Source organism: Homo sapiens, chromosome 3 (genome assembly GCF_000001405.40).
Source record: "Homo sapiens chromosome 3, GRCh38.p14 Primary Assembly".
In the NCBI taxonomy this organism is placed as follows: Eukaryota; Metazoa; Chordata; class Mammalia; order Primates; family Hominidae; genus Homo; species Homo sapiens.
This window is the reverse complement of record NC_000003.12, coordinates 58,801,741-58,823,210: the sequence shown is the minus strand read 5'-3', so window position 1 is coordinate 58,823,210 and position 21,470 is coordinate 58,801,741. Positions and strand designations below refer to the sequence as shown.

The window sequence follows — 21,470 nt, the reverse complement described above, 5'->3', positions numbered from 1 at the left end:
TGTTGCAACAAAAGACAGATTAGCAAAAGAAAAACATACAAATTTATTTCATGTAAGTTTTCCATGATACAGGAGTCTTTATAAGGAAATGAAGAACTGAACAAACAGTGAAACTTGAATATTTTTACTCCAGGTTTGATGAAGAGAGGAAAGTGGTGGAGAAATATGATTGGGCAAAGGAGATATGAGCTAATGGAAATAAACGAAGAAAATCAGCAAGGCTTTTGTTCAGATTCTTCTCTGTGTCCCTGTGTCTTCAGAGATAAGGATGTTCCTTTCTTCAGGGGATAGGGACGGCATCTCTCAAATGAGTATCTTATGACCTGCTCCAGGGGGTGTTCAGAAAATCCTAGCTATGTTTTATGACCAGCTGCAGGGGAGAACAGGAGAAGGTGAGAGTGACCTTCCTGCTACTGTAAATGCCATGTCCTGAACTCCATCAATATCCATTTGTAGGTGAGGATGTCTAGCCTCAGACAGCTAGTTGTTCACCTTTCTATGTGTTCGTGTCAGCAGTTTTTATTTGAAAAGTTTCCATTGGTTACTTTTTTGTTTTCTAACACTTAAAAATCACTATGAGCAAAGATGGAAAGGGATCAGTCTGTATAGTCTTTTTTTTTTTTATTATACTTTAAGTTTTAGGGTACATGTGCACATTGTGCAGGTTAGTTACATATGTATACATGTGCCATGCTGGTGCACTACACCCACTAACACGTCATCTAGCATTAGGTATATCTCCTGATGCTATCCCTTCCCCCTCCCACCACCCCACAACAGTCCCCAGAGTGTGATATTCCCCTTCCTGTGTCCATGTGATCTCATTGTTCAGTTCCCACCTATGAGTGAGAATATGCGGTGTTTGGTTTTTTTTGTTTGTTTGTTTGTTTGTTTGTTTTTTCATGATTTTTTTTTATTATACTTTAAGTTTTACGGTACATGTGCACATTGTGCAGGTTAGTTACATATGTATACATGTGCCATGCTGATGTGCTGCACCCACTAACTCCTCATCTAGCATTAGGTATATCTCCCAATGCTATCCTTCCCCCCTCCCCCCACCCCACAACAGTCCCCAGAGTATGATATTCCCCTTCCTGTGTCCATGTGATCTCATTGTTCAATTCCCACCTATGAGTGAGAATATGCGGTGTTTGGTTTTTTGTTCTTGCGATAGTTTACTGAGAATGATGATTTCCAATTTCATCCATGTCCCTACAAAGGACATGAACTCTTCATTTTTTATGGCTGCATAGTATTCCATGGTGTATATGTGCCACATTTTCTTAATCCAGTCTATCATTGTTGGACATTTGGGTTGGTTCCAAGTCTTTGCTATTGTGAATAATGCCGCAATAAACATACGTGTGCATGTGTCTTTATAGCAGCATGATTTATAGTCCTTTGGGTATATACCCAGTAATGGGATGGCTGGGTCAAATGGTATTTCTAGTTCTAGATCCCTGAGGAATCGCCACACTGACTTCCACAGTGGTTGAACTAGTTTACAGTCCCAGCAACAGTGTAAAAGTGTTCCTATTTCTCCACATCCTCTCCAGCACCTGTTGTTTCCTGACTTTTTAATGATTGCCATTCTAACTGGTGTGAGATGGTATCTCATAGTGGTTTTGATTTGCATTTCTCTGATGGCCAGTGATGATGAGCATTTTTTCATGTGTTTTTTGGCTGCATAAATGTCTTCTTTTGAGAAGTGTCTGTTCATGTCCTTTGCCCACTTTTTGATGGGGTTGTTTGTTTTTTTCTTGTGAATTTGTTTGTGTTCATTGTAGATTCTGGATATTAGCCCTTTGTCAGATGAGTAGGTTGCAAAAATTTTCTCCCATTTTGTAGGTTGCCTGTTCACTCTGATGGTAGTTTCTTTTGCTGTGCAGAAGCTCTTTAGTTTAACTAGATCCCATTTGTCAATTTTGTCTTTTGTTGCCATTGCTTTTGTTGTTTTGTACATGAAGTCCTTGCCCATGCCTATGTCCTGAATGGTAATGCCTAGGTTTTCTTCTAGGGTTTTTATGGTTTTAGGTCTAACGTTTAAATCTTTAATCCATCTTGAATTGATTTTTATATAAGGTGTAAGGAAGGGATCCAGTTTCAGCTTTCTACATATGGCTAGCCAGTTTTCCCAGCACCATTTATTAAATAGGGAATCCTTTCCCCATTGCTTGTTTTTCTCAGGTTTGTCAAAGATCAGATAATTGTAGATATGTGGCGTTATTTCTGAGGGCTCTATTCTGTTCCATTGATCTATATCTCTGTTTTGGTACCAGTACCATGCTGTTTTGGTTACTGTAGCCTTGTAGTATAGTTTGAAGTCAGGTAGTGTGATGGCTCCAGCTTTCTTCTTTTGGCTTAGGATTGACTTGGCGATGCGGGCTCTTTTTTGGTTCCATATGAACTTTAAAGTAGTTTTTTCCAATTCTGTGAAGAAAGTCATTGGTAGCTTGATGGGGATGGCATTGAATCTGTAAATTACCTTGGGCAGTATGGCCATTTTCACGATATTGATTCTTCCTACCCATGAGCATGGAATGTTCTTCCATTTGTTTGTATCTTCTTTTATTTCCTTGAGCAGTGGTTTGTAGTTCTCCCTGAAGAGGTCCTTCACATCCCTTGTAAGTTGGATTCCTAGGTATTTTCTTCTCTTTGAAGCAATTGTGAATGGGAGTTCACTCATGATTTGGCTCTCTGTTTGTCTGTTGTTGGTGTATCAGAATGCTTGTGATTTTTGTACATTGATTTTGTATCCTGAGACTTTGCTGAAGTTGCTTATCAGCTTAAGGAGATTTTGGGCTGAGACAATGGGGTTTTCTAGATATACAATCATGTCGTCTGCAAACAGGGACAATTTGACTTCCTCTTTTCCTAATTGAATACCCTTTATTTCCTTCTCCTGCCTCATTGCCCTGGCCAGAACTTCCAACACTATGTTGAATAGGAGTGGTGAGAGAGGGCATCCCTGTCTTGTGCCAGTTTTCAAAGGGAATGCTTCCAGTTTTTTCCCATTCAGTATGATATTGGCTGTGGGTTTGTCATAGATAGCTCTTATTATTTTGAAATATGTCCCATCAATACCTAATTTATTCAGAGTTCTTAGCATGAAGGGTTGTTGAATTTTGTCAAAGGCTTTTTCTGCATCTATTGAGATAATCATGTGGTTTTTGTCTTTGGCTCTGTTTATATGCTGGATTACATTTATTGATTTGCGTATATTGAACCAGCCTTGCATCCCAGGGATGAAGCCCACTTGATCATGGTGGATAAGCTTTTTGATGTGCTGCTGGATTCGTTTTGCCAGTATTTTATTGAGGATTTTTGCATCAATGTTCATCAAGGATATTGGTCTAAAATTCTCTTTTTTGGCTGTGTCTCTGCCCGGCTTTGGTATCAGGATGATGCTGGCCTCATAAAATGAGTTAGGGAGGATTCCCTCTTTTTCTATTGATTGGAATAGTTTCAGAAGGAATGGTACCCGTTCCTCCTTGTACCTCTGGTAGAATTCGGCTGTGAATCCATCTGGTCCTGGACTCTTTTTGGTTGGTAAGCTATTGATTATTGCCACAATTTCAGATCCTGTTATTGGTCTATTCAGAGATTCAACTTCTTCCTGGTTTAGTCTTGGGAGAGTGTATGTGTTGAGGAATTTATCCATTTCTTCTAGATTTTCTAGTTTATTTGCGTAGAGGTGTTTGTAGTATTCTCTGATGGTAGTTTGTATTTCTGTGGGATCGGTGGTGATATCCCCTTTATCATTTTTTATTGTGTCTATTTGATTCTTCTCTCTTTTTTTCTTTATTAGTCTTGCTGGAGGTCTATCAATTTTGTTGATCCTTTCAAAAAACCAGCTCCTGGATTCATTGATTTTTTGAAGGGTTTTTTGTGTCTCTATTTCCTTCAGTTCTGCTCTTATGTTAGTTATCTCTTGCCTTCTGCTAGCTTTTGAATGTGTTTGCTCTTGCTTTTCTAGTTCTTTTAATTGTGATGTTAGGGTGTCAATTTTGGATCTTTCCTGCTTTCTCTTGTGGGCATTTAGTGCTATAAATTTCCCTCTACACATTGCTTTGAATGCGTCCCAGAGATTCTGGTATGTTGTGTCTTTGTTCTCGTTGGTTTCAAAGAACATCTTTATTTCTGCCTTCATTTCGTTATGTACCCAGTAGTCATTCAGGAGCAGGTTGTTCAGTTTCCACGTAGTTGAGCGGGTTTGAGTGAGATTCTTAATCCTGAGTTCTAGTTTGATTGCACTGTGGTCTGAGAGATAGTTTGTTATAATTTCTGTTCTTTTACATTTGCTGAGGAGAGCTTTACTTCCCAGTATGTGGTCAATTTTGGAATAGGTGTGGTGTGGTGCTGAAAAAAATGTATATTCTGTTGATTTGGGGTGGAGAGTTCTGTAGATGTCTATTAGGTCCGCTTGGTGCAGAGCTGAGTTCAATTCCTGGGTATCCTTGTTGACTTTCTGTCTCGTTGATCTGTCTAATGTTGACAGTGGGGTGTTAAAGTCTCCCATTATTAATGTGTGGGAGTCTAAGTCTCTTTGTAGGTCACTCAGGACTTGCTTTATGAATCTGGGTGCTCCTGTATTGGGTGCATATATATTTAGGTTAGTTAGCTCTTCTTGTTGAATTGATCCCTTTACCATTATGTAATGGCCTTCTTTGTCTCTTTTGATCTTTGTTGGTTTAAAGTCTGTTTTATCAGAGACTAGGATTGCAACCCCTGCCTTTTTCAGTTTTCCATTTGCTTGGTAGATCTTCCTCCATCCTTTTATTTTGAGCCTATCTGTGTCTCTGCACGTGAGATGGGTTTCCTGAATACAGCACACTGATGGGTCTTGACTCTTTATCCAATTTGCCAGTCTGTGTCTTTTAATTGGAGCATTTAGTCCATTTACATTTAAAGTTAATATTGTTATGTGTGAATTTGATCCTGTCATTATGATGTTAGCTGGTGATTTTGCTCATTAGTCGATGCAGTTTCTTTCTAGTCTCGATGGTCTTTACATTTTGGCATGATTTTGCAGCGGCTGGTACCGGTTGTTCCTTTCCATGTTTAGCGCTTCCTTCAGGAGCTCTTTTAGGGCAGGCCTGGTGGTGACAAAATCTCTCAGCATTTGCTTGTCTGTGAAGTATTTTATTTCTCCTTCACTTATGAAGCTTAGTTTGGCTGGATATGAAATTCTGGGTTGAAAATTCTTTTCTTTAAGAATGTTGAATATTGGCTCCCACTCTCTTCTGGCTTGTAGAGTTTCTGCCGAGAGATCCGCTGTTAGTCTGATGGGCTTCCCTTTGAGGGTAACCCGACCTTTCTCTCTGGCTGCCCTTAACATTTTTTCCTTCATTTCAACTTTGGTGAATCTGACAATTATGTGTCTTGAAGTTGCTCTTCTTGAGGAGTATCTTTGTGGCATTCTCTGTATTTCCTGAATCTGAACGTTGGCCTGCCTTTCTAGATTGGGGAAGTTCTCCTGGATAATATCCTGCAGAGTGTTTTCCAACTTGGTTCCATTCTCCCCATCACTTTCAGGTACACCAATCAGACGTAGATTTGGTCTTTTCACATAGTCCCATATTTCTTGGAGGCTTTGCTCATTTCTTTTTATTCTTTTTTCTCTAAACTTCCCTTCTCGCTTCATTTCATTCATTTCATCTTCCATTGCTGATACCCTTTCTTCCAGTTGATCGCATCGGCTCCTGAGGCTTCTGCATTCTTCACGTAGTTCTCGAGCCTTGGTTTTCAGCTCCATCAGCTCCTTTAAGCACTTCTCTGTATTGGTTATTCTAGTTATACATTCTTCTAAATTTTTTTCGAAGTTTTCAACTTCTTTGCCTTTGGTTTGAATGTCCTCCCATAGCTCAGAGTAATTTGATCGTCTGAAGCTTTCTTCTCTCAGCTCATCAAAGTCATTCTCCATCCAGCTTTGTTCCGTTGCTCTTGAGGAACTGCGTTCCTTTGGAGGAAGAGAGGCGCTCTGCGTTTTAGAGTTTCCAGTTTTTCTGTTCTGTTTTTTCCCCATCTTTGTGGTTTTATCTACTTTTGGTCTTTGATGATGGTGATGTACAGATGGGTTTTCGGTGTGGATGTCCTTTCTGTTTGTTAGTTTTCCTTCTAACAGACAAGACCCTCAGCTGCAGGTCTGTTGGAATACCCTGCCGTGTGAGGTGTCAGTGTGCTGCTGCTGGGGGGTGCCTCCCAGTTAGGCTGCTCGGGGGTCAGGGGCCAGGGACCCACTTGAGGAGGCAGTCTGCTGGTTCTCAGATCTCCAGCTGCGTGCTGGGAGAACCACTGCTCTCTTCCAAGCTGTCAGACAGGGACACTTAAGTCTGCAGAGGTTACTGCTGTCTTTTTGTTTGTCTGTGCCCTGCCCCCAGAGGTGGAGCCTACAGAGGCAGGCAGGCCTCCTTGAGCTGTGGTGGGCTCCACCCAGTTCGAGCTTCCTGGCTGCTTTGTTTACCTAAGCAAGCCTGGGCAATGGCGGGCGCCCCTCCCCCAGCCTCGCTTCCACCTTGCAGTTTGATCTCAGACTGCTGTGCTAGCAATCAGCAAGATTCCGTGGGCGTAGGACCCTCGAGCCAGGTGTGGGATATAATCTCGTGGTTCACCGTTTTTTAAGCCGGTCTGAAAAGTGCAATATTCGGGTGGGAGTCACCCGATTTTCCAGATGCGTCCGTCACCCCTTTCTTTGACTCGGAAAGGGAACTCCCTGACCCCTTGCGCTTCCCAGGTGAGGCAATGCCTCGCCCTGCTTCGGCTCGCGCACGGTGCACGCACCCACTGGCCTGTGCCCACTGTCTGGCACTCCCTAGTGAGATAAACCCGGTACCTCAGATGGAAATGCAGAAGTCACCCGTCTTCTGCGTCGCTCACTCTGGGAGCTGTAGACCAGAGCTGTTCCTATTCGGCCATCTTGGCTCCTCCCCGCGGTGTTTGGTTTTTTGTTCTTGCGATAGTTTACTGAGAATGATGATTTCCAGTCTCATCCATGTCCCTACAAAGGACATGAACTCATCATTTTTTATGGCTGCATAGTATTCCATGGTGTATGTGTGCCACATTTTCTTAATCCAGTCTATCATTGTTGGACATTTGGGTTGGTTCCCAGTCTTTGCTATTGTGAATAATGCCACAATAAATATACGTGTGCATGTGTCTTTATAGCAGCATGATTTATAGTCCTTTGGGTATATACCCAGTAATGGGATGGCTGGGTCAAATGATATTTCCAGTTCTAGATCCCTGAGGAGTCGCCACACTGACTTCCACAATGGTTGAACTAGTTTACAGTCCCAGCAACAGTGTAAAAGTGTTCCTATTTCTCCACATCCTCTCCAGCACCTGTTGTTTCCTGACTTTTTAATGATTGCCATTCTAACTGGTGTGAGATGGTATCTCATTGTGGTTTTGATTTGCATTTCTCTGATGGCCAGTGATGATGAGCATTTTTTCATGTGTTTTTTGGCTGCATAAATGTCTTCTTTTGAGAAGTGTCTGTTCATGTCCTTCGCCCACTTTTTGATGGGGTTGTTTGTTTTTTTTCTTGTAAATTTGTTTGAGTTCATTGTAGATTCTGGATATTAGCCCTTTGTCAGATGAGCAGGTTGTGAAAATTTTCTCCCATTTTGTAGGTTGCCTGTTCACTCTGATGGTAGTTTCTTTTGCTGTGCAGAAGGTCTTTAGTTTAATTAGATCCCATTTGTCAATTTTGGCTTTTGTTGCCATTGCTTTTGGTGTTTTAGACATGAAGTCCTTGCCCATGCCTATGTCCTGAATGGTAATGCCTAGGTTTTCTTCTAGGGTTTTTATGGTTTTAGGTCTAACGTTTAAGTCTTTAATCCATCTTGAATTGATTTTTGTATAAGGTGTAAGGAAGGGATCCAGTTTCAGCTTTCTACATATGGCTAGCCAGTTTTCCCAGCACCATTTATTAAATAGGGAATCCTTTCCCCATTGCTTGTTTTTCTCAGGTTTGTCAAAGATTAGATAGTTGTAGATATGCAGCGTTATTTCTGAGGGCTGTGTTCTGTTCCATTGATCTATATCTCTGTTTTGGTACCAGTACCATGCTGTTTTGGTTACTGTAGCCTTGTAGTATAGTTTGAAGTCAGGTAGTGTGATGCCTCCAGCTTTGTTCTTTTGGCTTAGGATTGCTTTGGCGATGCGGGCTCTTTTTTGGTTCCATATGAACTTTAAAGTAGTTTTTTCCAATTCTGTGAAGAAAGTCATTGGTAGCTTGATGGGGATGGCATTGAATCTATAAATTACCTTGGGCAGTATGGCCATTTTCACGATATTGATTCTTCCTACCCATGAGCATGGAATGTTCTTCCATTTGTTTGTATCCTCTTTTATTTCCTTGAGCAGTGGTTTGTAGTTCTCCTTGAAGAGGTCCTTCACATCCCTTGTAGGTTGGATTCCTAGGTATTTTCTTCTCTTTGAAGCAATTGTGAATGGGAGTTCACTCATGATTTGGCTCTCTGTTTGTCTGTTGTTGGTGTATCAGAATGCTTGTGATTTTTGTACATTGATTTTGTATCCTGAGACTTTGCTGAAGTTGATTATCAGCTTAAGGAGATTTTGGGCTGAGACAATGGGGTTTTCTAGATATACAATCATGTCATCTGCAAACAGAGACAATTTGACTTCCTCTTTTCCTAATTGAATACCCTTTATTTCCTTCTCCTGCCTAATTGCCCTGGCCAGAACTTCCAACACTATGTTGAATAGGAGTGGTGAGAGAGGGCATCCCTGTCTTGTGCCAGTTTTCAAAGGGAATGCTTCCAGTTTTTGCCCATTCAGTATGATACTGGCTGTGGGTTTGTCATAGATAGCTCTTATTATTTTGAAATACGTCCCATCAATACCTAATTTATTGAGAGTTTTTAGTCTAAAGCAAGGAGGGGCTGAGTCACTAACAAGATAGGATTCTGTAACCACTTCTATTTTCCAAGGGATGGAGTAAGTCATTTGGAATAGAGGTTTGGGCATTGGTGTAAGTAGAATTAATAGTATAAAATTAAGAAATGGAAATTCACCTGAATATCAGGTCTGTGATGCTTAGAGAGTCATGGAAATGCCTCTAAAAATAAATAGGCAGAGGTCCATTCACTGGAGACCTGAGTACAGCTGAAATACTGGACGAATACCAATGAATTTGTTATTGGGAGTATTTCTATACCAGTGTGAGTTTGTCCAGAGAACCTGTTAGGCCCTTTGCTTGCTAATTTCTTTTTTGCTGTGAAATAATAAAGCCTAAATCATAGAACCAAATTTCACTTGCAAATTGCCGAAAGTCTTATTTCTCTAGTGAGATCAAATATGTCTTATGACATGTTTTTCCTTCCACTGTTCTCCCAGCTGTTGTTTCTTATTACTGAAATGGTGATGCATTGATATTGGTTCAATTACCAAAGTATCTGAGTACATTTAAATTCATGGTGCATAACAGGTAGTCAGGCTAAGTGACTGTGATTATCAGATGGGGTGTTTGATTTAAATTAAAGGAACACTTCCAAGAGATAATTTATAGAGGAAGACAGTTTACTCTGAAGAATTCCCATCACCTACATCATTAATATTTTGAGACTTCTTTTAATGAGAAATATCTGGAAGCTAAGGAGTATGAGCTCTGTATATACAGGCACCATGGCTACGTTGTTCTCCTCAGTCAGGGGCCACATTATGATGGGTGAGAAACCCTTAACACCAACCCCACTGGGTTTGGAAGTAGCTAAAGCTCTTTGAATGCAATTTAAACATGTATAGCAAACTCTAAATTGTAATAAAATGAGAATGTTGAAAATGATTTCTTATTAGAATCGCATTGTTGCTAACCACATAAATACTTAGAGCTGATGTTCAAAAAGAGGATGGAATTTTTTCCCGTTATAGAACAAAGGAAAAAGATCAAGTTCCATTGGAAGCAAGTGTTTAGGGCTACATGAGATATAGTTGTTCAGCTATGTTTTGAAATGTAACTGAAAGGTTTCCTGTGGAGGGAAAATTTGAGATTTCACATTTTTGTTAGGTATTGGCATCATTTTTTTCAGCTTATTGATCAGTACTTGAGGTTGTGTTATACACTTGGGGAAAATGACTGCCTTGACCTAAGATTTACATGTGTAATTCTCATTCGTGGTAATAGAAATTATATTTACACACTTACTAACACTGAGACTAAATGTATTTTCTGTGTGTCTGGGTTTCTGTTATTAATGATGGTTGAACTGCAGCATTAGTTCCATGAGATATCTTGTTTGGTTTTGTTTTCCTGTCTGAAAATATCAACCAATGTTAACAGCATAAAAATTCCACAAAGAGGAAAATTTCAATACATGAACTTTAATTACATCATAGATGCTATGAGGTCCAATGACTGGGCCACTAAAATAATAATAATGATAAATGTGATTTCTCATTTATACCACTCTGCTATTTGCTGGATCTGTAAAATAAACCCATACCCTTCTTTTCTTTTTTTATTTTATTTTACTATTATTATACTTTAAGTTTTAGAGTACATGTGCACAATGTGCAGGTTAGTTACACATGTATACATGTGCCATGCTGGTGTGCTGCACCCATTAACTCGTCATTTAGCATTAGTTATATCTCCTAATGCTATCCCTCCCCGCTCCCCCCACCCCACAACAGTCCCCAGACTGTGATGTTCCCCTTCCTGTGTCCATGTGTTCTCATTGTTCATTTCCCACCTATGACTGAGAATATGCGGTGTTTGGTTTTTTGTTCTTGCGATAGTTTACTGAGAATGATGATTTCCAATTTCATCCATGTCCCTACAAAGGACATGAACTCATCATTTTTTATGGCTGCATAGTATTCCATGGTGTTTATGTGCCACAATTTCTTAATCCATTCTATCATTGTTGGACATTTGGGTTGGTTCCAAGTCTTTGCTATTGTGAATAGAGCCGCAATAAACATACGTGTGCATGTGTCTTTATAGCAGCATGATTTATAGTCCTTTGGGTATATACCCAGTAATGGGATGGCTGGGTCAAATGGTATTTCTAGTTCTAGATCCCTAAGGAATCGCCACACTGACTTCCACAATGGTCGAGCTAGTTTACAGTCCCAGCAACAGTGTAAAAGTGTTCCTATTTCTCCACATCCTCTCCAGCACCTGTTGTTTCCTGACTTTTTAATGATTGCCATTCTAACTGGTGTGAGATGGTATCTCATTGTGGTTTTGATTTGCATTTCTCTGATGGCCAGTGATGGTAAGCATTTTTTCATGTGTTTTTTGGCTGCATAAATGTCTCTTTTGAGAAGTGTCTGTTCATGTCCTTCGCCCACTTTTTGATGGGGTCGTTTCTTTTTTTCTTGTAAATTTGTTTGGGCTCATTGTAGATTCTGGATATTAGCCCTTTGTCAGATGAGCAGGTTGCGAAAATTTTCTCCCATTTTGTAGGTTGTCTGTTCACTCTGATGGTAGTTTCTTTTGCTATGCAGAAGCTCTTTAGTTTAATTAGATCCCATTTGTCAATTTTGGCTTTTGTTGCCATTGACTTTGGTGTTTTAGACATGAAGTCCTTGCCCATGCCTATGTCCTGAATGGTAATGCCTAGGTTTTCTTCTAGGGTTTTTATGGTTTTAGGTCTAACGTTTAAGTCTTTAATCCATCTTGAATTAATTTTTTTATAAGGTATAAGGAAGGAATCCAGTTTCAACTTTCTACATATGGCTAGCCAGTTTTCCCAGCACCATTTATTAAATAGGGAATCCTTTCCCCATTGCTTGTTTTTCTCAGGTTTGTCAAAGATCAGATAGTTGTAGATATGCGGCGTTATTTCTGAGGGCTCTGTTCTGTTCCATTGATCTATATCTCTGTTTTGGTACCAGTACCATGCTGTTTTGGTTACTGTAGCCTTGTAGTATACTTTGCAGTCAGGTAACGTGATGCCTCCAGCTTTGTTCTTTTGGCTTAGGATGGACTTGGCAATGCGGGCTCTTTTTTGGTTCCGTATGAACTTTAAAGTAGTTTTTTCCAATTCTGTGAAGAAAGTCATTGGTAGCTTGATGGGGATGGCATTGCATCTATAAATTACCTTGGGCAGTATGGCCATTTTCACGATATTGATTCTTCCTACCCATGAGCATGGAATGTTGTTCCATTTGTTTGTGTCCTCTTTTATTTCACTGAGCAGTGATTTGTAGTACTCCTTGAAGAGGTCCTTCACATCCCTTGTAAGTTGGATTCCTAGGTATTTTCTTCTCTTTGAAGCAATTGTGCATGGGAGTTCACTCATGATTTGGCTCTCTGTTTGCCTGTTATTGGTGTATAAGAATGCTTGTGATTTTTGTACATTGATTTTGTATCCTGAGACTTTGCTGAAGTTGCTTATCAGCTTAAGGAGATTTTGGACTGAGACAATGGGGTTTTCTAGATATACAATCATGTCATCTGCAAACAGGGACAATTTGACTTCCTCTTTTCCTAATTGAATACCCTTTATTTTCTTCTCCTGCCTAATTGCCCTGGCCAGAACTTCCAACACTATGTTGAATAGGAGTGGTGAGAGAGGGCATCCCTGTCTTGTGCCAGTTTTCAAAGGGAATGCTTCCAGTTTTTGCCCATTCAGTATGATACTGGCTGTGGGTTTGTCATAGATAGCTCTTATTATTTTGAAATACGTCCCATCAATACCTAATTTATTGAGAGTTTTTAGCATGGAGGGTTGTTGAATTTTGTCAGAGGCCTTTTCTGCATCTATTGGGATTATGATGTGGTTTTTGTCTTCAGTTCTGTTTATATGCTGGATTACATTTATTGATTTGCGTATATTGAACCAGCCTTGCATCCCAGGGATGAAGCCCACTTGATCATGGTGGATAAGCTTTTTGATATGCTGCTGGATTTGGTTTGCCAGTATTTTATTGAGGATTTTTGCATCAATGTTCATCAAGGATATTGGTCTAAAATTCTCTTTTTTGGTTGTGTCTCTGCCCAACTTTGGTATCAGGATGATGCTGGCCTCATAAAATGAGTTAGGGAGGATTCCCTCTTTTTCTATTGATTGGAATAGTTTCAGAAGGAATGGTACCAGTTCCTCCTTGTACCTCTGATAGAATTCGGCTGTGAGTCCATCTGGTCCTGGATTCTTTTTGATTGGTAAGCTATTGATTATTGCCACAATTTCAGAGCCTGTTATTGGTCTATTCAGAGATTCAACTTCTTCCTGGTTTAGTCGTGGGATGGTGTATGTGTCCAGGAATTTATCCATTTCTTCTAGATTTTCTAGTTTATTTGCGTGGAGGTTTTTGTACTATTCCCTGATGGTAGTTTGTATTTCTGAGGGATCGGTGGTGATATCCCCTTTATCATTTTTTATTGTGTCTATTTGATTCTTCTCTCTTTTTTTCTTTATTAGTCTTGCTGGAGGTCTATCAATTTTGTTGATCCTTTCAAAAAACCAGCTCCTGGATTCATTAATTTTTGAAAGCGTTTTTTGTGTTTCTATTTCCCTCAGTCCTGCTCTGATTTTAGTTATGTCTTGCCTTCTGCTAGCTTTCGTATGTGTTTGCTCTTGCTTTTCTAGTTCTTTTAATTGTGATGTTAGGGTGTCAATTTTGGATCTTTCCTGCTTTCTCTTGTGGGCATTTAGTGCTATAAATTTCCCTCTACACACTGCTTTGAATGCGTCCCAGAGATTCTGGTATGTTATGTCTTTGTTCTCGTTGGTTTCAAAGAACATCTTTATTTCTGCCTTCATTTCGTTATGTACCCAGTAGTCATTCAGGAGCAGGTTGTTCAGTTTCCATGTAGTTGAGCGGTTTTAAGTGAGTTTCTTAATCCTGAGTTCTAGTTTGATTGCACTGTGGTCTGAGAGACAATTTATTATAATTTCTGTTCTTTTACATTTGCTGAGGAGAGCTTTACTTCCCAGTATGGGGTCAATTTTGGAATAGGTGTGGTGTGGTGCTGAAAAAAATGTATATTCTGTTGATTTGGGGTGGAGAGTTCTGTAGATGTCTATTAGGTCCGCTTGGTGCAGAGCTGAGTTCAATTCCTGGGTATCCTTGTTAACTTTCTGTCTAATGTTGACAGTGGGGTGCTAAAGTCTCCCATTATTATTGTGTGGGAGTCTAAGTCTCTTTGTAGGTCACTCAGGACTTGCTTTATGAATCTGGGTGCTCCTGTATTGGGTGCATATATATTTAGGATAGTTAGCTCTTCTTGTTGAATTCATCCCTTTACCATTATGTAATGGCCTTCTTTGTCTCTTTTGATCTTTGTTGGTTTAAAGTCTGTTTTGTCAGAGACTAGGATTGCAACCCCTGCCTTTTTTTGTTTTCCGTTTGCTTGGTAGATCTTCCTCCATCCTCTTATTTTGAGCCTATGTGTGTCTCTGCATGTGAGATGGGTTTCCTGAATACAGCACACTGATGGGTCTTGACTCTTTATCCAATTTGCCAGTCTGTGTCTTTTAATTGGAGCATTTAGTCCATTTACATTTAAGGTTAATATAGTTATGTGTGAATTTGATCCTGTCATTATGATGTTAGCTGGTTATTTTGCTCATTAGTTGATGGAGTTTCTTCCTAGCCTCGATGGTCTTTACAATTTGGCATGATTTTGCAGTGGCTGGTACTGGTTGGTCCTTTCCATGTTTAGCGGTTCCTTCAGGAGCTCTTTTAGGGCAGGGCTGGTGGTGACAAAATGTCTCAGCATTTGCTTGTCTGTAAAGGATTTTATTTCTCCTTCACTTATGAAGCTTAGTTTGGCTGGATATGAAATTCTGGGTTGAAAATTCTTTTCTTTAAGAATGTTGAATATTGGTCCCCACTCTTTTCTGGCTTGTAGAATTTCTGCTGAGAGATCAGCTGTTAGTCTGATGGGCTTCCCTTTGTGGGTACCCCGACCTTTCTCTCTGGCTGCCCTTAACATTTTTTCCTTCATTTCAACTTTGGTGAATCTGACAATTATGTGTCTTGGAGTTGCTCTTCTGGAGGAGTGTCTTTGTGGCGTTCTCTGTATTTCCTGAATCTGAATGTTAGCCTGCCTTGCTAGATTGGGGAAGTTCTCCTGGATAATATCTTGCAGAGTGTTTTCCAACTTGGTTCCATTCTCCCTGTCACTTTCAAGTACACCAATCATACATAGATTTGGTCTTTTCACGTAGTCCCATATTTCTTGGAGGCTTTGTTCATTTCTTTTTATTCTTTTTTCTCTAAACTTCCCATCTCACTTCATTTCATTCATTTCATCTTCCATCACTGATACCCTTTCTTCCAGTTGATCACATGGGCTCCTGAGGCTTCTACATTCTTCACGTAGTTCTCGAGCCTTGGCTTTCAGCTCCATCAGCTCCTTTAAGCACTTCTCTGTATTGGTTATTCTAGTTATACATTCTTCTAAATTTTTTTCAAAGTTTTTAACTTCTTTGCCTTTGGTTTGAATTTCCTCCTGTAGCTCGGAGTAGTTTGATCATCTGAAGCCTTCTTCTCGCAACTCGTCAAAGTCATTCTCCATCCAGCTTTGTTCCGTTGCTGAGGAACTGCGTTCCTTTGGATGAGGAGACGCGCTCTGCTTTTTAGAGTTTCCAGTTTTTGTGCTCTGTTTTTTCCCCATCTTTGTGGTTTTATCTACTTTTGGTCTTTGATGATGGTGATGTACAGATGGGGTTTTGGTATGGATGTCCTTTCTGTTTGTTAGTTTTCCTTCTAACAGACAGGACCCTCAGCTGCAGGTCTGTTGGAGTTTGCTAGAGGTCCACTCCAGACCCTATTTGCCTGGGTATCCGCAGCGGTGGCTGCAGAACAGCGGATTTTCATGAACCACGAATGCTGCTGTCTGATCGTTCCTCTGGAAGTTTTATCTCAGAGGAGTACCCGCCCGTGTGAAGTGTCAGTCTGCCCCTACTGGGGGGTGCCTCCCAGTTAGGCTGCTTGGAGGTCAGGGGTCAGGGACCCACTTGAGGAGGCAGTCTGCCCATTCTCAGATCTCCAGCTGCGTGCTGGGAGAACCACTGCTCTCTTCAAAGCTGTCAGACAGGGACACTTACGTCTGCAGAGGTTACTGCTGTCTTTTTGTCTGTGCCCCGCCCCCAGAGGTGGAGCCTACAGAGGCAGGCAGGCCTCCTTGAGTTGTGGTGGGCTCCACCCAGGTCGAGCTTCCTGGCTGCTTTGTTTACCTAAGCAAGTCTGGGCAATGGCGGGCACCCCTCCCCCAGCCTCACTGCCGCCTTGCAGTTTGATCTCAGACTGCTGTGCTAGCAGTCAGTGAGACTCCGTGGGCGTAGGACCCTTCAAGCCATGTGCGGGATATAATCTCCTGGTGCGCCGTTTTTTAAGCCCGTTGGAAAAGTGCAGTATTAGGGTGGGAGTGACCCGATTTTCCAGGTGCCATCTGTCACCCCTTTCTTTGACTAGGAAAGGGAACTCCCTGATCCCTTGCGCTTCCCGAGTGAGGCAATGCTTCGCCCTGCTTCGGCTCGCACACGGTGCGCTGCACCCACTGTCCTGCACCCACTATCTGGCACTCCCTAGTGAGATGAACCCGGTACCTCAGGTGGAAATGCAGAAATCACCCGTCTTCTGCATCGCTCACGCTGGGAGCTGTACACTGGAGCTGTTCCTATTCGGCCGTCTTGGCTGCCCTCCCACCCATACCCTTCTTGTGGGTTGTGTCTGAGGAAACAGTTACAGTAATGAGAGTGCATGTGAATGTCTATGTAAACAGCTTTGTGCTGATTAAACATTCACAAATGTTTTGTCTTTTCCAGCCTGTCAACCAGGGTCGCCACTATCAGAAAGAAATGAACCCACCTTCTCCTTCTAATCCCCGGTAAGAATCATTAATAATCTACATTTAAGAAAAAAAAAAACTTAGTTGGAAGATTGTACATTTTTCTTGGTTTTCTGAAATTGTTTTCCAAAACTTCTAGCTTCCAAACTTATGTTCTTTCAAAGTCCTAGTTCATCTACTTGTCTTCTTTGGACTTTAGAATAGTGGTAACAGTCTACCTAGGTTTAAATATCTACCTTTTACTAGCTGTGGAATTTTGGGTAAGTCATTTGACTCCATGTAATTCAGGCATAAGAATTACTTCATAGTATTTTGGAAAGATTCAAATGAAAAATTCTTAGAACAGTTCTTGGCACATGGCAAGTTCTCACTAAGTGTTAATTTATTCATTACTTTATTTGCATAACTATTTTATTTTAATAGGTGTCTGATGTTTGGTAAATTTTAGGCATAAATCTTTTTTATATCATCTGGTGCCCTTAAATTTATCAAGATAGCTTATAAAAGTTCAAATGACCAGTCTCTTTTTTCATAACTTTAAAAGTTTATAATCTCAAAATTATTTTATTTCAAAAATGTCATTGGTGTATGAGTCATTTGTCACTAAGGAAAAACCTCATTATTTTTGGTTCATTAGGAACAAGTGGATCTGAATTTGAGTTTTGAAATACATGCTGTATTATTCTACAACTTTCTGATAAATAAGTATATAAGCTAGTTTATCCATATAAATTAGTATTACCTTATCAGTATTTATCATATATTAGGAAATTATTGAAAAGTCCATATATCGTGAGCCTACCTACAAAGTCTTAGTTACTGTGATGCACCTCATTATCCAAACGCATCTGACCTGTACTGTGGGCTGTCCTATGGAGGGTGTGTTAACTATTGCATGGTGTCTGAATTAAGACTCTTTGGTTACACACTACAAAACAGCTTAGCTAGTATTAAAAGACAGAAAGAGATAGGGAGAAAGAGTAAGAAAGGCGGTTTGGCAGGTGGTTGTTAAGTAAGATACGGGGCTGTATTCTAGAACCCAAAGGCCGCCAGGCCTCAGGAGGGGCCTGAAACTAGGAACTAGAAAGGCAAGAGGCAGCCAGGCAGTCTCTTCACTCCATCTCTGCTTGCTTCCTCCCATCTGCTCCATTCTTCTCTCTAAGGACCAGCTTTCTCTGCTCCATAGTCCACATATGGCCATTTGACAGCTCTTGAGTTTACATATCACAGTTCAATATACATGTAGAGGCTAACAGACTACGTCTGAACTTCCTTTTTCAAGAAAGAGAATGTGATTAGTGTAGCTTGAGCCAAGTGCCCATTCTGGTCCAGTCAGCAATAAACAATGAACCAAGCCATGAAAAATGAACATGGCTTCCAGGAAACCACGTAAGTGGTTTACAGGACTTTTATTGGGACCCAGAATATTCATGACACAGATGAGTAAATGTTCTTTACTAGTAATCTCTTCTAAATGTTTCTATTCTGTACACCTGCTCTGGTTATTTGTTCATGTTACCTAGTAGGGTGAATTGTCACTATCACAAATAGATACACTAAAGAGTTTAAAACTGAGGTTAGAATTTCAATATATATAAGAAGGTATTTTAACATTCTTAGAATTAGCTATCTCTCAATAGGTGAACACGTCAGTAAGAATCTTGCAGCTCATCTAGATTTGCCTAACAAATTATTTTTTCTATATGTGAGTAAGCTTTCAAGGTAACTGGAAATCCAACTGTGGTCCAAATTATAACAAGTTAAGAATTTGGGCCAGGCATGGTGGCTCATGCCTATAATCCCAGCACTTTGGGAGACTAAGGCAGATGGATCACCTGAAATCAGGAGTTTGAGACAAGACTAGCCAACATGGTGAAACCACATCTCTAATAAAAATACAAAAATTAGCAGGGTGTGGTGGCATATGCCTATAATCCCAGCTACTCAGGAGGCTGAGGCACAAGAATCTCTTGAACCCAGGAAGCAGAGGTTACAGTGGGCCGAGATCACACAACTGCACTCCAGCCTGGGCGACAGAGTGAGACTCTGTCTCAAAAAAAAAAAAAAAAGAACTAATTTGTAGTCTGAACAAATGAGAGTGATAGTAAGATATGTTAGACAGTGGAGCCATTTGTTTCAATAAAAGGAGAAAGGGGACCTAATTCTCATCCTAATTCTATAACATAGTATATAATCTCAGACAAGCCTCTGACCTCTCCAGACCTTTTTAATAATATGAATACCCTCATGTGTAAAAGAAAGGAGTTGAGTTGCATGCTCTCTGAGGCCAATTCCAACTTTATGATTCTGTGACTTTTACAAGACTCATTATAGCCTTTACTTCATAAACCAGTCTCGCCATTGAAGGATCACACTACTTTTATTTCATTGTCCTATATAGAAAGCATACTTCATAAATATTGGCTAGATAATTGAATGAATGAATATCTAGATGTGGTAATATGCAACTTTAAATATCTCTTTTACAAATTGATTTCCAAAGATATACTGTCAAGATAGAATATGAAATAATTCACCAGTTAGACAGCATTATCTTATGCAACCAATTAAATGTTTATTTATTTAAGAAAAATTAATTTACACTTCTGCATAATGAAATAAAAAGAACAAATTCTAAAGCCAAAAATTAAATACCACCAACCCCATTTACCAGCAAGTTATCTACCAGTTTCCTAAAAAATTATCATATAACTGTTCAGAAAACCTGCAGATGATGTGACTTGGCTCTTGGCTCATAAATTCAACAGCTTAGGAGAATTGGCAGGAAGGCATTATTGGGCCATAAATACAGAAGATGATAAAATTATGAGGTCAGTATATATCATCATATAAAAATGGAATAAATTGAATCATGTAACGCATATAATTTAACTTAAAATTGAAAGTTCTGATTCTTCTTAAGATCTGTATTTATTGTATTTCTTACAATTAGTATCCCAATGCTTTAGACCCTAAAATATAGAACTTTAAATTTAAGGGATATTGATAATTAATATGAAAAAATATAAGAAATGAGAAGGTAATTCTCTGAAGTCCACCCTGTTGGATAAATGAACATCTAACTTGAACCCGTGATTGAAAATTCTGGTATGGAGGCTCTGAACAATACATAAAAAGCAGGTAGGCTCTTGGTTTCCTGAATGAAGTGTGGCTGTGATTAGAGTAATGCCAATATGGCAGAGACGGGGTGGTGTGGACAAGCACTTCCACAGAGAGGAAAGCGTGATGGTGACCTCTGGAAAGTGTGGTGGCCACATGAGCCTCAGTGAGACATCTGCAACTATTCCAGAGACCGAAGATCCTAAGGTTTTTAAATTACATAAACTAGTGCCCACATGTATACATGTTTAGAGAGTCACCTTTCAAATAGCTTTATTAATGTAACAGAATAACCAATATCCCCAGTCTTTCATGCACATTTTTTTTCTTTTTTTTTTTGGAGACAGTCTCACTCTGTCACCTGGACTGGAGTGCAGTGGAGTGATCACTCATGCACATTTTATTCTGGAAAGACTTTTATTTCTGCAACATAACTATCTTCTTAATTTTTTGTGTGCAGGATTAAAATTAAAGACAATATGCAATCCATAAGCAGGCAAATTTGGGTTTTAAAGAGTTAGCTCTAGGATGAAAATAGCTAAAGTGCTGCATATATTCATATATTGTTTTTCTCACAGTAAAGTCATTCACTTTCACTCACAGGGCAGTGTTTGACATTGGATCAAGGTGGGATGCAACAGTAATCATTTTTCTCAGAAGTTTACAATCTAGGAATTGAAATATATATGGTTCACTTAATCATATTCCCTTGCGTGTCTAGATTTGCAACAAAGCCATTTCCCCTTACGCTGTTAGGCATGGGGTGGTATTTTCCATTATTTTTTCCTAACACACTAACTGATATTTAAACAGCATCACAGATGCTGGGGCCCTTGCCTCCAGCGTCCACCAAACATTGCCTCTTAGGGCACTGACAGCCTCTATGACAAGGTGCAGAAATGGCTAACATAATCTCACATAATGTAGAGAAGTGTGGGGTAGGAGGAAACAATTTCACAGTTCATTCATGTTGAGAAACGTTTCCTAACATGTACACTTGCATGCTGCCAAGCAGAGCAAAATGGATGCCATTTGCAGCTTCAAGTCATTTATTTTAAAATGCCATCTATTGGTTTGTGGGGTTTAGAGCTGTCCCTTAGGCACATTTATTTAGATGCTTGTGTAGATTCTTCAGAAAAACGTAAGATATTCCTGCTCAGGAATGAGTTTTATGAAATAAGCTGTGATTACCTTCTGGTTGTCTGTTCATAGGGATGGAGTCAATAACCAGTCTTTCGTTTCAAATGATGATTATACTTGCTATTTTTACAACTCATTGGAAAATTAGGGGGAGGGAGGAAGGAATGTAGTCAAAGGCTTTGCAAGGTTCTAAATGTTCATGGAAATATATAATATACAAAATAATTCAGAATACCCAAACAGCAAGAATGGCATGATTTTCTAAAGTGTTTGCTCAATGATTTGTCACTTATCTGTAGTTTTTAAAAATGTCATTGCAGATTGTGTTAGGGCCTGAATCCTTTGCAGCCTTGCCACATGTTTGTGTGATAAACACACTTATAACCATAATTATCTGATAAAGCCCTGCAGTCTTTGACAAATGATTAATAAC

The 21,470-nt window shown here is 39.8% G+C and overlaps 1 protein-coding gene across 26 annotated transcripts in view, besides 1 other annotated feature; it reads left to right on the top strand.

Moving 5' to 3' along the window:
• The window catches only part of CFAP20DC (CFAP20 domain containing), a 333,853-nt gene that overhangs the window by 226,815 nt on the left and 85,568 nt on the right, over positions 1 to 21,470 (top strand). For 21 of the 26 annotated variants that reach the window (XR_001740051.3, XR_001740052.2, XR_007095646.1 and 18 more), the window contains one exon: positions 16,755 to 16,816. The exons of 3 other annotated variants lie outside the window; for them this stretch is intronic. Coding sequence is in view for 17 of the 23 variants with exons in the window: in NM_198463.4 (NP_940865.1) it covers positions 16,755 to 16,816 (62 nt within the window). In the remaining 6 variants the exon portion in view is untranslated. Of the gene's footprint in view, positions 1 to 133; positions 387 to 16,754; positions 16,817 to 19,497; positions 19,609 to 21,470 lie in introns of those variants that run through there. 2 more of the 26 variants (XR_940388.3, XM_011533455.4) reach the window with 2 other exon arrangements.
• Positions 15,981 to 16,481: an enhancer, noted in NCBI's record as "H3K4me1 hESC enhancer chr3:58792456-58792956 (GRCh37/hg19 assembly coordinates)". NCBI's record gives its function as "activates a minimal SCP1, AML or CMV promoter by ChIP-STARR-seq in naive H9 embryonic stem cells {active_cell/tissue: H9 hESC(naive)}" and the evidence as "EXISTENCE:reporter gene assay evidence [ECO:0000049][PMID:30033119]".